This window comes from Homo sapiens, chromosome 14 (genome assembly GCF_000001405.40).
Source record: "Homo sapiens chromosome 14, GRCh38.p14 Primary Assembly".
In the NCBI taxonomy this organism is placed as follows: Eukaryota; Metazoa; Chordata; class Mammalia; order Primates; family Hominidae; genus Homo; species Homo sapiens.
In genome coordinates, this window is record NC_000014.9 from 92,472,803 (window position 1) to 92,488,363 (window position 15,561).

The window sequence follows — 15,561 nt, forward strand, 5'->3', positions numbered from 1 at the left end:
AGGAGTGGGATTGCTGGATTAAATGGTAGATCTACCTTTAGTTCTTTAAGGAATCTCCACACTGTTTTCCATAGTGGTTGTCCTAGTTGACATTCCCACCAGCCTGTAGAAGTTACTCAGTTCTAAGGCTGCATACTCACCCTCCCTTGCCCCATGAAAGCCACAATAAAGGCTTTTGCCCACACTTGCCTCTCACTCCTTGTTCCTCCTCACCAGCACTGGTGCTTCCTCATGTGGCCCCATGCGGCACACCCTGCCTCCTGTTTCTAGTTTTTGTGAGTACAAAAAACCTTTTTTTCATGACCATCATTTCTATACCTCTGTGTCTTACCACACCTGATTAAAACAAATTCTGGCTACATTTAAAAACACATTTGATGTGGGTTTGGCAAACAGTATGCATTTGAGCATGAACTTAGGACTCAAGGACTTGAAAGCAGAACCTTCAGGATATTGCTAGGACTCAGAAATCTGTGTGTGAACAAGCCCCCCAGGTAATGTGGCTGTTCAGTTGGTTTTGAGAACAACTGGTTTAGTCTCAGTCTCTCATTTGGAGGATGAGGAGGCCAAGGCCCAGCCTGGTGGGCAAGTCTGCTTGGGAGACCAAATCCTGGGGCAGGAGATTGCATGATGAGCTCAGAATTAAACCAAGGAGCGAGATACTCTTGGCTAGCATGGATTGAAAAGCTCCTCCCTGCTGTTTCTGTCTTCGTAACTCTATTGCTTAGGATTCTGTGGTTACAAGTATCAAAACTAGCTAGATCTTGGTTTCAGCAGGAAAGGGGACTTTATGAGAAAGATACAGAGGTGTTTCCTGGAGCCAGGGCAGAGGTGCGGATGAGTCTCAGGACAGCTGGAACCAGGAAACATGATCGGGCAGCCCCTATCTCCCCATGCTCGTCTCTGTCCCTGATTCATCTCCTGACCTTCAGACCTGCTGCTTCTGCCTCTCCTCTCCTGATTTCACAATTTTAGCCACATGCACGCCGAAATCGGTTCCAATTTCAGCATCCTCAGGGACAGGCTCTGATTGACTCAGTCTGATTAGAACTATCCTTGGGCTAGTCACAGGCAGGAGCACAAATGTGCCTGGGAGAAATGATCCCATCTCATCAGGGGAGCTGGGCTGGTTCTGCCAGAGGTGTCCCGGGATTCTTACTGAATCAGAACTCCTGTACCCAGGCACCTCTGTAGGCAGCATCAAAACCTGGGACACTTTTCAAGGCTGCCCAAGCCTCTTTAGCTTGATCAAGTGCAACTGGGTTCTCTAACTTTTCCATTCCAGTAATGTTTCCTGGTGATCTGGTCTCTTGGCATAAGTTCAGGAAATATCTAACTTCATCAGCATAATATGTGGGGCTTCTTTGCTGCTAATGAGCTTTTAGATGGTGATGATCACATTCATTATGTGGGATTTTAAAAACATGTTATGTTCAGATTATCTTTTCCTGATTCTGAGCGGGCACTTGTAGCCTCCCATACATTTAATATGTGTTGAGTTCTGCCATGAGTCAGGGGCGGGGCTGGGAGCTCTGCTCTCTTCCAGAGCCATGCAAGAATCCAGCAGGCCCCTGCCTGCGAGGGGCTTCCAGTCTAGCTTCAGAACTCATACAAGTGACTTTCTTCCAAGCCAGACATTGAGAGCTTTGGGCTGACAGCTCCATGCCACATTTGTTTTGTTGTTGTTGTTGTTTTCTTTTGAGATGGAGTCTTGCTTTATTGCCCAGGCTGGAGTGCAATGGTGTGATCTCTGCTCACTGCAACCTCCACATCCCGGATTCAAGCGATTCTCCTGCCTCAGCCTCCCAAGTAGCTGGGTTTATAGGCACCCACCACAACGCCCAGCTAATTTTTGTGTGTGTGTGTATATATATATATACACATATATATGTATATATACGTGTGTGTATATATATATACACACACGTATATATACGTATATATACGTGTGTGTATATACGTATATATGTGTGTATATATATGTGTGTGTGTATATATATACATATATACATATATATACATATATATGTGTGTGTGTGTGTATATATATATATATATATATTTTTTTTTTTTTTAGTAGACACAGGGTTTCACCATGTTGGCCAGGCTGGTCTCGAACTCCTGACCTCAAGTGATCCACCCACCTTGGCCTCCCAAAGCACTGGGATTACAGGCGTGAGCCACCGTGCCCGGCCTATATTTGAACCTGTGTCTTTATTGATATACGGTCCTGGTAGTAATGGTGAGATGTGCCATTTACTGAGACTCTTCTATTGACAAATAGTATCATGTTCCCAAGTCCCCAGTGTACTGTTGTCACCCCCATTTTACAGTAAGGAAATAAGGCTCATGAGGACTGCTCCCCCAGTGACCCACAGCTGATGAGCTAGTAAACTGGATTTGAACCAGGTCAGATGCCAGACCTTTAATGTTGCTTACCTTGTCTTTGACCTTTGGGCACTGCGCTTCAAAATGCAGAGCAATTAGGTAACAAGGCAGTAAACAAAATGCCCAATTATGCAGAGCAGGCTGTTAGAATAAGACTATGTACCACCACCTGCTAATTGTATGGTCCACACTGGTGCAGAAGGCACCAGGAGCTGTTACCAGCTGTGTTTGCAACCCAGTCAGGAGAGGTAGAGATGGTGGATTCAAGTAGTAAGGCTATGGGTCAACTTGGGTAGAGTTTCAATAATTCATAAATTCTTCAAAACCAAAGCAGTTACAGAAGGGAGAGATCACCATGGGCTGGCGGGGTTAACGGCTTTTCAGAAGAGTCAGAACACTGGGGAGGCTGAAGAGAGGCCAGATAGATGGAAGGCTGGGAGTTGAGAGGGTTGCACAGCACTAGCAATGGTGTCATTTAAGAAGTCATTGCCTAATCGAACAGAGACCAGCACGAGCACCATGGAAGGTTTCCACACCGTGACCATGACCTACAGGAATATTTTATACACATACCTGGAAATATAAAAAGGAAACCAGTTTCCTGGAGTAATACTGAACTCTCACTATGTACAGGAACTCTATTTTCTACTTTTTTAAAAAAGAAAATGCTGGTTGCCCTTCACTAAATTGATTTCACCATCCTCTCCTGGATCTCATCCAACAGTTGAAAAACATAGCAATGGAACGGGTCGGTTGAAGCACTGTTTCTTAGGAAACAATGGTGGGCCGTGACACTGGCCACGTGGGTGGGGCCAGATGGGGGTGGATGTTGAAACCGGATGCAAAACCCATAGCAGGCAAGAAAAAGGCAAACACCTCATGCAGTTTGGTGTCTGGGAACATATGAAAATTATCCTTCTACTGTGGCGTTTGTATATACCCGCAAAGACGTTCCTGGGCATTTAAGCATCCAGGGTTACAATTCCCTAAAGCGAATTCTTCCTCTACATACGGAGTTTTCTGTCAATTCTAGAAATACACTAGGCCTTCCTCAGCAACCTAGATGAGTTGGGATGTGGACTCACCAGAGAAGAACGTGGAATTTTGGACAAACCAATCAAGGCAGGAAAACTTTTGGCCATTTGTACAGGGACTACAAGCTACAGAAAGGTGTATATAGAGAAAGATCTAGAAAGAGATGGATGGATTTGCTTATTTCAAGCTAACCATATTCTCTTGGCTAATTATTATAAGCAGCTGATTTTTTTTTTTTAGTAAAAATACTTTTAATGATTTAGGAAGATTCTAGCACAAATATTACAGAGCAAACACAGCTAGTGCCAGTCTACTTTGCAATTTTTAAAATTGAGATGTAATTTATATGCCATAAAATTCGCCCTCATAAACTAATTCGTGGTTTTTGCTATATTCACAGAGCTGCGCAGCCATCACCAATATATAATTCTAGAATATTTTTATTATCCCACTTTTCATAGTCCCATGAGCATGACTGCCCATTCCTCTTCTCTTCCATCCCCTGGCAACCACTAATCTACTTTCCGTCTCTATGAATTTCCTATTCTTGACATTTATATAAATAGAATCTATCAATATATGGCCTTTTGTGTCTGACTTCTTTCACTTTGTGTAATGTTTACAAGATTTGTCCATGTGGTACCATGTATCAGTACTTCATTCCTTTTTATGGCTGAATAATATTCCTTTGTATTTATATGCCACATTTTGTTTATCCATTCATCACTTGGTTAATATTTGGGTTGTTTTCATTTTTTGCTATTATAAATAATGCTGCTGTGAACATTTGAGTAAAAGTTTTGGTATGGACATATATTTTTATTCTTTTTGGGTAAAACTAGGTGTAGAATTTCTGGGTCAAACTCTTTGAGAAACTGTCAGACTGTTTTCCAAAGCAGGTGTACCACTTTACATTCCTATCAGCAATGTATGACGGTTCCTATTTTCCCACACCCTCACCAATACTTGTTATTTATCTTTTTTATTCTAGTAATACTTGTGGCTGTGAAATCGCCTTGAATTACATTTTCCTAATGACCATTTTCTTTGGAGAACTGTCTATTCAAACACTTTGCCTTTTTTAAGAAAATTGGGTTTTTAAAATTGTTGAGTAGTAAGAGTTCTTTACATATTTTGGACAATAGACCCTTATCAGATATATTATTTGCAAAATGATTTTTTTCCATTCAATAGGTAGTATTTTCATGGTCTATCTTTTCCTTTTTTTGTTGTTGTTTTTGTTGTTGTTGTTTTGTTTTTCCAGACAAGACCTCACTCTGTTGCCCAGTGCAATGGCAATCATAGCTCACTGCAGCCTCTAACTCCTAGGCTAGAGCAATCCTCCCACCTCAACCTCCCAAGTAGTTGAGACTAAAAGGCCACCATGCCCAGCTAGTTTTTGTATTTTTTGTAGAGATGAGGTCTCACTATGTTGCCCAGGCTGGTCTTGAACTCCTGGCCTCAACCAGTCCTCCCACCTTGGCCTCCCAAAGTGCAGGATCGTAGGCATGAGACACTGTGCCCAGCCTTTCTTTCCTTTTTTTCTTTTTTCTTTTCTCTTTTTTTTTTTTTTTTGAGACAGAGCCTTGCTTTGTCTCCCAGGCTGGAGTGCAGTGGTGTGATCTTAGCTCACTGCAACCTCTGCCTTCTGGGTTCAAGTGATCCTCATTCCATTCCATTCCATTCCATCCCAGCCTCAGCCTCCCAAGTAGCTGGGATTACAGGCATGCACCACCACACCCGGCTAATTTTTGTATTTTTAGTAGAGACAGGGTTTCACCACGTTGGCCAGGCTGGTCTTGAACTCCCAACCTCAGGTGATCTGCCCATCTTGGCCTTCCAAAGTGCTGAGATTACAGGCATGAGCTGCTGTGCCCAGCCCCAGCCTCACTTTCTTAATAGTATTCTATGAATCACAAAAGTTTTTAATTGTGATAAAACATAATTTACTTATTCTTTTGTTGCTTGTGATTTTGGTGTCATTTAAGAAATCATTGCCCAATCCAAGGTCATAAAGAGTTGTGCTCATGTTATTTTATAGTTGTAGCTCTTATATTTAGGTCTTAATCATTTTTTAATTCAATTTTTGTGTATGGTATAAGACAGAGCACCAGTTTCATTCTTTTGCCTATGGGTATCCAGCTGTCTCTGCACCATTTGTTGAAAAGATTATTGTTTTCCTATTGAATTGTCTTGATACTCTTGTCAAATATCAAGATATTAAATGCCTGGGTTTATTTCTGGACTCAAAATTTTATTCCATTCTTATGCCAGTAAATGTCGAGTCCATAAATAAACCCTTAAATATCTGGGTTTATTTCTGGACTCATAATTTTATTCCATTCTTCCAGTAGCAGTCTCTCCTGATTACTGTAGCTTTGTCCTAAGTTTTAAAATCACAGTGTGTAAATTTCCCAGCTTTGTTTTGTTTTTTTTTCCAAGACTGTTTTGGCTATTTGGGGGTTCCTTATATTTTCATATGAATTTTAGGCTCAGCTTGTCAGTTTCTGCTCAGCTACCTGGGATTTTGATAGGGATTGCATTGAATGTATACGTAAGTTTGGGGAATATTACCGTCTTAACCATTTTAAGCCTTCCGATTCATAAACAGGATTTCTTCTCATTTATTTAGGTCTTCTTTAATTTCTTCCAATGATGTTTGGTAGTTTTCAGCATACAAATTCTCTACTACTTTTGTTGCATAAATGTTAGGTTTTTAAATTTTTTGATGGCATTGTACATGGAATTGTTTTCTTAATTTTATTTTTGAATTGTTAATGTAGAAAAACACAACTGAATTTTGTAAATTTATTACATATCTTACAAATTGGCTGAACTTGTTTATTAGTTCTAATAGGTTTTTATGGGTTCCTTAGAGTTTTCTATATACAAGATCATGTCATCTACAAATAGGGATAGTTTTACTTCTTCCTTTCCAATCTGAATCACTTTTATTTATTTTTCTTGCCTAATTTTCTTGGCTATAATCTCTAGTTCAGTGTTGAAGGAGTAAGAGCAGACATCTTCATCTTGTTTCTGATTTTGCAGTGAGGTGGGGAGGGGAGGGTTGCAATAGCTTTCAATCTTAATCGTTAAGTATAAGTGCTAGCTGTGGGTTTTCCATAGATGCCCTTTATCCAGTTGAGAAGGTTCCCTCAGTTCCTAGTTTGTTGAGTGTTTCCATCAAGAAAGAGTGTTGAATTTTGTCAAATGTCTTTTCCGTGGCAGTTTAGAGGATTGTGTAGTTTTATCCTTTATTCTATTAATGTAATGTTTTACATTGATTGAATTGTATATGTTAAATCAAGCTTTCATTCCTGGGATAAATCCCACTTGGTGGTGGTGTATAATCCTATCTATATGTTACTGGATTCCAGTTTGCTAGAATTTTGTTAATGATTTTTGCATCAATATTCAGAAGGGATATTGGTCTGTAATTTTCTTTACTCTTGATGTCTTTGTCTGCGTTTGGTATCGAAGTAATACTGGCTTCATAGAATAAATTGGGAAGTGCTCCCTACTGTTCTATTTTTTGAAAGAGTTTGAGAAGGAGTCATGTTAATTCTTCTTTAAACATTTGGTAGAAGTCACCATGAAGCCATCTGGTCCTGGCTTTACTTTAAGGGAAAATTTTAAATTGCTGTTTCAATCTTGTTTTAAATCTATTCAGATTTTCTGTTCCTTTCTGAGTCAGTTTTGGTAGTTTGTACCTTTGCAGAATTTTGTCTGTTAGGATTCTTCGTAGTATTCCCTAATAGTTTGTTTTATTTTTGTAATGTTCATAGTGATGTCCCTGTTTTATTCCTGATTTTAGTAATTTGAATCTTCTCTCTTTTTTTCTTGGTCAGTCTAGCTAAAGGTTTGTCAATTTTATTGATCTTTTCAAAGAGGCAACTTTCAATTTCTTTGATTCTTTGTATTTTTTTTTATTTTCTATTTCATTTATTTTCACTCTAACCTTGATTCTTTTCCTTCCTTCTGCTTTCTTTGGACTTCATTTTCTTTTCTTCTTTTATTTTTCTTAAGGAGAAAGGTTTGGACATTGATTTGAGATCTTTCCCTTTTTTTTTTTTTTTTTTGAGATGGAGTCTTGCTCTGTCGCCCAGGCCGAACTGCGGACTGCAGTGGCACAATCTCAGCTCACTGCAAGCTCCACTTCCCGGGTTCACGCCATTCTCCTGCCTCAGCCTCCCGAGTAGCTGGGACTACAGGCGCCCGCCACCACGCCCGGCTAATTTTTTGTATTTTTAGTAGAGACGGGGTTTCACCTTGTTAGCCAGGATGGTCTCGATCTCCTGACCTCATGATCCACCCGCCTCGGCCTCCCAAAGTGCTGGGATTACAGGCGTGAGCCACCACGCCCGGCCTTTCCCTTTTTTAATATAGGTATTTTACGGCTATGCATTCCTAAGTACTGTTTTCACTATATCCCATAAGCTTTAGTGTGTTACATTTTTTTGATTCATCTCAAAGTATTTTCTAATTTTTTTGTGCTTTCTTCTTTGACCCTTTATTTAGGAGTATGTTATTTCATTTCCCATGTATTCGTGAATTTTCCAGTTTTCCTTCTGTTATTGGTTTCTAATTCTGTTCCATTGTGGTTGGAGAACAGGAGATTATCTCCTGTTCTAGGGTTTGTGGTTGTTACTCTTTATTATTGTTGCTTGTTTAGTGACTTTTCTAAACTAATTCTGTAAAATTCATATTCTTTGTTGTGTGTGGCCACTGAAGTCTCTGCTAGGTTAGCCTAGAGGTCAGCTAATGATTAGACAGAAAATTCCCTAGGTTCCTGGATCCAATCGTTCTCCCAGTCTTTGCCAAGGGACTCTGTATGTGTTTTGGGGCATGCCTCCAACACTCAGGCGGGTAGTTCACAACTCTATAGTAGCCTTTCCTTCTTATTTGCACAGAGCCTCAAAGTTAGGCAGAGATGAAAGCTTACAGCAGTCTCGAGTCTTTCCTGAGCATGTGTAGAACCCTGGGCACAGCCCTGTGCATGCTCATGGTCTGTTAGATTCCCAGAGATATCTAGGAGCTTTTCAAAGCCCACTGTGGATGTCTCATTCCCCAGCTTTTCCTTTTATGCTTTTTGGTTAACCTATTGTTTGTCCCAGCTGTCATCTGCCACTTCCAGCAACATGATTTAATAATTGCCTCTAATTGTTTTTGACAAACACCTCCAAGTAAAAAGCTATTCACACTGGGTAAGCTCAGATTCTGGTAAAATAAAGACAGCCTTGAAAGTGGAGTCTTCTAAGAAACCACCAGACAGGTCAAATAATAACAATTCTGTGGGAATGAACTTGGGAGGTCCTCCAACCTTGTTCTGCCCCCTCTTGTGGCTGCTAGCCTGCTGTTTTTCAATGTGGTTGCATGCTGCTGGATTTCAAAACTACTCCAGACCTGACAAGAAGGAATAAAAATAGGGAAAGTTAAAACTCCACAGAGTTCACTGTTCTTACTAAGGTCCAACTGATTTTTTTAAATAGATATTCCCTGGATTGCTGCAAACCTTAGGTTAATTCTGGAGCTCTGAAAACGTTGATTCTGACAATTTTTTGCTGTTGTTCTCAATGCTTCTACAAAAAATAAAAATTGCAGAAGTCCTTCCTCCACCATTTCATTGATGAGCAGGCCAGTTTTTAACCTGCTTGTGCACACCTATCTTCAGTGGCTTATTAAGGAAACTATGCTTACACTCAATGGCTTATGAGGCCTCTTTTCCTCCATTGAATTGTTTCTGGATTCCCTTGGTAGGGGCCAGTGAGATCTGGACTGCAGCCAGGGCACACATTTAGTCTTGCACCAGTCTTGACTACATGACCTTGGGACAAAGGAGCTGAGATTTCCAAAGCACCTGCTGTGTGCCAGGCCCCGTGTGCTGGGTGTTTTATGTACACTCTGTCATATCATTCTTGCAACAACCAAGAAGGAGATACCTTTCTCATTTAACAGATGAGGAAACCAATAAGATGCAAAGCACTTAGCACTGTGCCTGCAGCACATGGCAAATGCTGGATGTGTTGATTATTGCTGCCCTGTTGTTGTTACATCTAAGTTATTATTGTCAGAGGAGGAAGTAGAGTTGGGATTCTCAAGGTCCTTTGACTTCCAGCCCAGGGCTGTCTGTCTTCAAAGCCCAACCATAACTCACATCCCCATTCCAGCTCCTCTGGGTGAGTCTGTTCCCCCTCAGCCTCACTTTCCTTATCCTGTCAAATGAAGGATTTGGAATGACTTAAGTTATTCAAGCAACAAACACTTACTGAATTGTCTTGCCACTTCCAGGGTGACATTATGGAGTTCTGTGATTCTGCAAGGTCAGTTGCCTAGAGTCACATCGGTGGCATTCTCTTATTTAGCTTGAAGACTAAATCGACAGGTAGACTGGCAGGTGTGTTACCCAGTGTCTTTCTCTCCCCCTCCTTTCTCACTCTGCCCCTTCACCCTGCAGAGGCCAGAGGGGACAAGGTCAAGTGGGTGTTCACCTGGCCCCTCATCTTCCTCCTGTGCGTCACCATTCCCAACTGCAGCAAGCCCCGCTGGGAGAAGTTCTTCATGGTCACCTTCATCACCGCCACGCTGTGGATCGCTGTGTTCTCCTACATCATGGTGTGGCTGGTGAGTGGGGGGAGCAGGGGGTGGACTGTGTGCACAGCCAGGGAGAGGTGGAGAGCTGGGTTCAAGGCTAACCACAGGTACTGCTGTGCCACCTTTGGGCGAGTCACTGGCCTCACTGACCACAGCGTATTTCTCAGTAGAAAAGGGTTTGAATGAGGTGCATGACTCTGTGTCAGGTACCCGGAATGCAGAGACACAGCACAGTGCCTGCCTTCGAGTGTGAGGGAAGGGGACCAACCTTTGCACAGGCAGCCTAAATCACACTGTTCTGGTGTTACAGGCAGAGCAATATGACAGGTGGATGATCACCAAGCCCCCTTGGTTTCCAGGGTCCCAAGGGAATGTGAAGGAAGGAGACTGGAGTCAAGGGAGATGAGGTTGAACACAAGGCAGCTTGTTCCTTGCTCCTGCCCAGGAATGCTCCTCCCCCCACTGATGTGCTGGTGCTGGTTTAAGCCCTTCATATAAACTCTTTCTTATCCTCATAACAGCCCCATGGGATGGGTGCTATTATCTCCATCTAACGAATGGGGGAAATCGAGGCATAGAGAAATTGAGTAATTTCCCCAAGGTTACACAGTTAGTGAGTGCCAGAGTTAGGATTAGGACCCAGGTATTGATCTCCTAAGCCCATGATCTCAACTACTACCATAAGCTGCCTCTCAGTTTGCTACTGGACTTTTCAGATTTCGTTGGATGGGAGTTTTGCAGGCAGAGAGGCATTGGTGTAGCTCCTCATAAGCTCCTATGGCCATACAGGACAAGTCCCCATGTAAACCTTTCATCGGCTGGGCTGGGCTGGGTCAGGCCACACAGGAGCCTCCTTCCCCACTCTCTGTATACCACCTAATGGGGTCCCTTCTTCTCCTCCTCATTCCCAGGAGCAAAGAGAGGGGAAGCAGTTCCAGCATGGCTGCAGTTCTGTTGATTGTGAAACTCACTCTCAGCCCCTTACACCCTAGTGGTTAACATCGAGTCCCTTTATTCTCCTCCTAATGCCTGACACCAGCAGCAGAGAAGGCAAGCGATCTTGACATGAGAGACAGCAGGGCCAGTAAACGTTCCATGCTGGCCCAGGGGCCACCTTTCCCTTAACTCCAGAGAAACCGTGTCGTTTGGTGGGGAACAAAGGATCCTGGATCACATGAGAACAGCGCTGAATCCTAGTCCTACCTCTTGCAAACCACAGAAGCTGGTGACTCCCTCTATGAAGTGGGGGTGATCATCACTCTCTTACAAGGCCATTGGGAGAATGAAAAGAGAGCCCAGCACATTCTAGGCACTTGGCCAATCCTGTCTCTTCCCTCCCCCCAACCCAATCACGCCTTCCCCCATCTCTCCCAGAGCATTACTGGAATTCTAAACAGTGTATGGGAGCCATTTTGCCTATGCTTTCCTGAAATCCCACCCTTTGGCCGGCTCCCTCACCTCAGATGCTTCCTCAGGCTGATCAGAGACCTGCCGCAACCTCTGTGAGTGTCCTTACTCATGCAGCAGCCCTCCTGTCCCTGTGGCAGAGCCTCCCCAAGACACCAGCTGGTGGAAGGTGCTGCCCCCAGCCTGTTCCCTTTCTCCCTTTCTTCTGGTACCTGCTTAGAGCTCTGTATCCCAAAAGGAAGCTCAGGACGGACTCTGTGACTCCTGGTACCGGCTTAGAGCTCTGTATCCCAAAAAGAAGCTCAGGATGGACTCTGTGATTGTGTTTTAGTGAATGAAACAAGTCATGTAACTCAGGAGAGGCAGAACCACTCCAAGCCTCCAGGACCCCAGCATCTGCCCCAGCCCCAGGCACTCACACTTGGAACACCCTGGCCTTGGTTCAGCTAAATGGGGGACATGGGGACACTTGAACATTCAAGTCCCCCAGAACCTCATTCATGTCCCTCCTGACCACTCCCTTTCACACCCTACTCCCAGCCCAAAACAGTTTGGTTAGACTGTGTCAGAAGCATCCAGTCGTTAGCCGCTTATTGAAACCAACAGCCAATTAAGGGTGATTACCTGGTAACAGTCAGATGATCATGAGCGTTGCTGAATAATACACAGTTTGGCCACTGAGTAGTGTGATTTCTTATAGTGCCCTTCTTGTGTCGAGTTAGTGTTGTGTACATTATACCCAATTTCAACCTAATCTTACTTCATCTTGTTCAAGCATTGTGATTTGAGTTTGCAGCATGGTTGGTTGCTCATGACAGTAAATATTAGCCATTTTCACCATGAGATGCAGCAGTGCTGTTTCCATGCTTCCATGATGAAGATTAAAGTCCCCACAGCCCACTCCATATGGGGGATGGGGAAGAAGATTTGGAATTAGTTACTATCTAAACTCCCTAGAGACTGGGTGTGGTGGCTCACACCTGTAATCCCAGCACTTCGGGAGGCCAAGGCAGGAGGATCACTTGAGCCCAGGAGTTCAAGACCAGCCTGGGCAACATAGTGAGACCCTGTGTCTACAAAAAATTAAAAAAATTAGCCAGGTGTGGTGGCATGCACCTGTAGTTGCAGCTACTCAGGAGGCTGAAGTGGGAGGATTGCTTAAACCCGAGAGGTTGAGGCCACAGTGAGCCATGGTCAATCCACTGCACTCCAGCCTGGGCTATGGAGCAGAGCAAGATCCTGTCTCAGAAAAAAGAAAAGAAAAAAAAAAACTCCCTAGAAAAAGATGACAATCAGAGATAAAGAAAACTGTGCCTTAAGTGAATTGGATTTGCAATTTTTAATTTTTCTGAATAAAATTAAAGGCCAGTTCATCTTACATTTTAAAGAAAGGATCCAGCGATTTCTCTTACTGAAGTGTATTTCCAAAACAACATTACAAGTAAAAAAAAAAAGTATTTCATGACATTTGAGTGGGTGAGAGAATCAGGAAGATCAAATTAATGAATATGTGAAATTCTTCTCTAGTTACAGAAAATAACCATATGATTAAATCAGTTCTGCTAATTTTCAGTGAGACAGGATACTCCAACCCCCACCACCTTGAGGTATAAACCCCACCCTTGTTTCTTAAACCAGGGTCATGGGGTCACAGGAACCACTTTACTGGGGCACTCTTACCTATGGGTTTGAACTTCAAATAGCCTCATTCTGGGGGAGTAGAATGGCCTTGACAGTAAAAGTCTATAAAGAAGGCAGTGTCCACGTTAGCCTTGATCTCTGCCTATGCAAGATGTGCCCACCTCAGCACCCTGCGCTTACTTTCACTATGTCCTGGTGAGGCTCCAGCAAGCAGTGAAGCCCCACCTGTCCATCCCCTGTACCTCCACCTTTTATTAATACATCTCTCACCCCCAAGGCTTTGGAAGAATGATTCTTGAATATCAGTGTCAAAAGGGAGAGGCCTTGGAAATGGATTGTCCATTTCCCCAGAACACTTGTGCAGTTGGGGAAACTGAGGACCAAAGAGAAGAAATGACTTCTGTAAAGTCACACAGACAGGCAGGGCAGAGCCAAGACCAGCCGCCAGGGTCCTGGACTTGAATCTGCTTCCTGGTCTGAAGCCTGAGTGTTGGAGGGCTCAGAGGGCCTGGGCATGGAGTCCAGGGTAAAGCAGGGTTCATGTGGCATCCCTGGTCCTGAGCACTCTGGATGGTATGTGCACACTCAAGACCTTCCTTCCATCCTTCCATCCTTTGGCTTCTTAGCCTCGTAGTTCAGTGGGGGTTTTTTTTGTTTTGTTTTGTTTTGTTTTAAAAGAGGCAGCCCCAGTAATTCTAAAATAACTGTTTCCTACGCTTACAGTGTCTCTAATACTAGGAATATTTCTTTAGTCCACACACTGTTGGTTGAGAGTTCATGTCTCCACCCCACATTCTGCAGGTGACTATTATCGGATACACACTTGGGATCCCGGATGTCATCATGGGCATTACTTTCCTGGCAGCAGGGACAAGTGTTCCAGACTGCATGGCCAGCCTAATTGTGGCGAGACAAGGTATGGATTATGCCCCAGCCCTCATAGTCATGCAGTGCAGGCCACTGTGTCCTCGTCCCTGCCTGACTTACAGTTGACCAAGTTGTGGCTCTTATGACTGGCAGTTGTCAAGTCCTGCTGTGGAGAAAAACTGCGACATCTAGAAAGCATCATTTATTAGATTCCATCCACAGAGAGAATGCTACCAAGATGAACTCCTCCAGACCTCTATCTAGAAGCTTTTGCTAGTGTGGTTGTATAAAAACAAAAATGTTCTGAGGTCAGCAGTCAATGTGAGATTGAACAGAGGCCAAGCCCAGACTTTATACAGCAAATGAGCTAATAACAAGAAACATTCTGGTCCCAGAAAGGCAAAGCACTGGCATCCTATACATCCAACTCCCCCATTCTTCTTCTGACCTCTAGAACGTGTATAATGTTTTGGTTTGTTTGGTGGTTTTCGTTTTGGGCTTACTACGTGGCATGGGCTGAGCAACACAAGGAGTGAGTGTATGAGCTTTGATGGTGGAACAAAAGAGCTGTAACAAGTGCAGGTTTTACTGACTTCTTTTCTGCTAGCCAGGTAGCATCCCAGCATGGACATCCACAGATCTTCCTCACAGCACAGAGTTTGAAAGTATAGGGATGGGGATGGGTGAATAATGGCGTAAAATCTCACAGGAGACAGAAGAGAACAGTGCCCAAAGAGAGAGGTTGGCTTTGGGAAGAGAGACAGGACGTGTTATTCCTCCAAGATAAAGGGTTGATTGGTTGGTTAGTGAGTTGAGCCTGAGAAACCACGAGATGAGGGGAAAGGAAGAGTGGAAGTACGTTTGCTGGTCGGCAGGGCCCTGACAGCGAATGGGGACAGTTAGGGACAGCAGCTGAGGGAGGAATGGAATTTAACTGAGTGATCTTTGATGTGAGCGTGTTAGTTTCCTAGGGGAGTCATAACAAAGTGCCACAATGGGGTGCCTTAAAATGACAGAAGTTCATTGTCTCACAGCTCTGGCAGCTAAAAGTCTGAAAGTCAGGTGTCAGCAGGGCCATGGTCCCTTGAAGGCTCTAGGGGAGGAACCTTCCTTGCCCCTTCCTAGCTTCCAGTGGTCACGCAATCCTTGGGTCTCCCTGGCTTGTAGCTGCATCACTCCAATCTCTGCCTCTGCCTTCACACCGCATTCTTCCCTTGGTATGTCTGTGTCGACTTCCTCCTCCTGCTCCTCCTCCTCCTCCTCCTCTCGCTCCTCCTCCTTTTCCTCCTCCTCCCCTTCCTTCCTTCCTTCCATCCTTCTCCTCCTCCTCCTCCTTCTTCCTCTTTTTTTTTTTTTTTGTGATGGAGTCTCACTCTGTCACCCAGGCTGGAGTACAATGGCGTGATCTCGGCTTACTGCAGCCTCTGCCCCCTGGGTTCAAGCGGTTCTCCTGCCTCACCCTTCCGAGTAGCCAGGACTACGGGCACATGCCACCACACCCAGCTAATTTTTGTATTTTTAGTAGAGACAAGGTTTCACCATGTTGGCCAGGCTAGTCTCAAACTCCTGACCTCAAGTGATCCACCTGTCTCAGCCTCCCAAAGTGCTGGGATTACCAGCATGAGCCACTGC

At 43.8% G+C, this 15,561-nt stretch overlaps 1 protein-coding gene across 9 annotated transcripts in view; it reads left to right on the plus strand.

Moving 5' to 3' along the window:
• SLC24A4 (solute carrier family 24 member 4) overlaps positions 1-15,561 on the plus strand; it is a 178,901-nt gene that overhangs the window by 150,222 nt on the left and 13,118 nt on the right. For 8 of the 9 annotated variants that reach the window (NM_153648.4, XM_011536436.3, XM_011536437.3 and 5 more), the window contains 2 exons: positions 9,878-10,044; positions 13,864-13,978. In NM_153648.4, coding sequence (NP_705934.1) covers positions 9,878-10,044; positions 13,864-13,978 — 282 coding nt within the window. Of the gene's footprint in view, positions 1-9,877; positions 10,045-10,925; positions 12,119-13,863; positions 13,979-15,561 lie in introns of those variants that run through there. The other variant, XM_005267342.2, reaches the window with a different exon arrangement.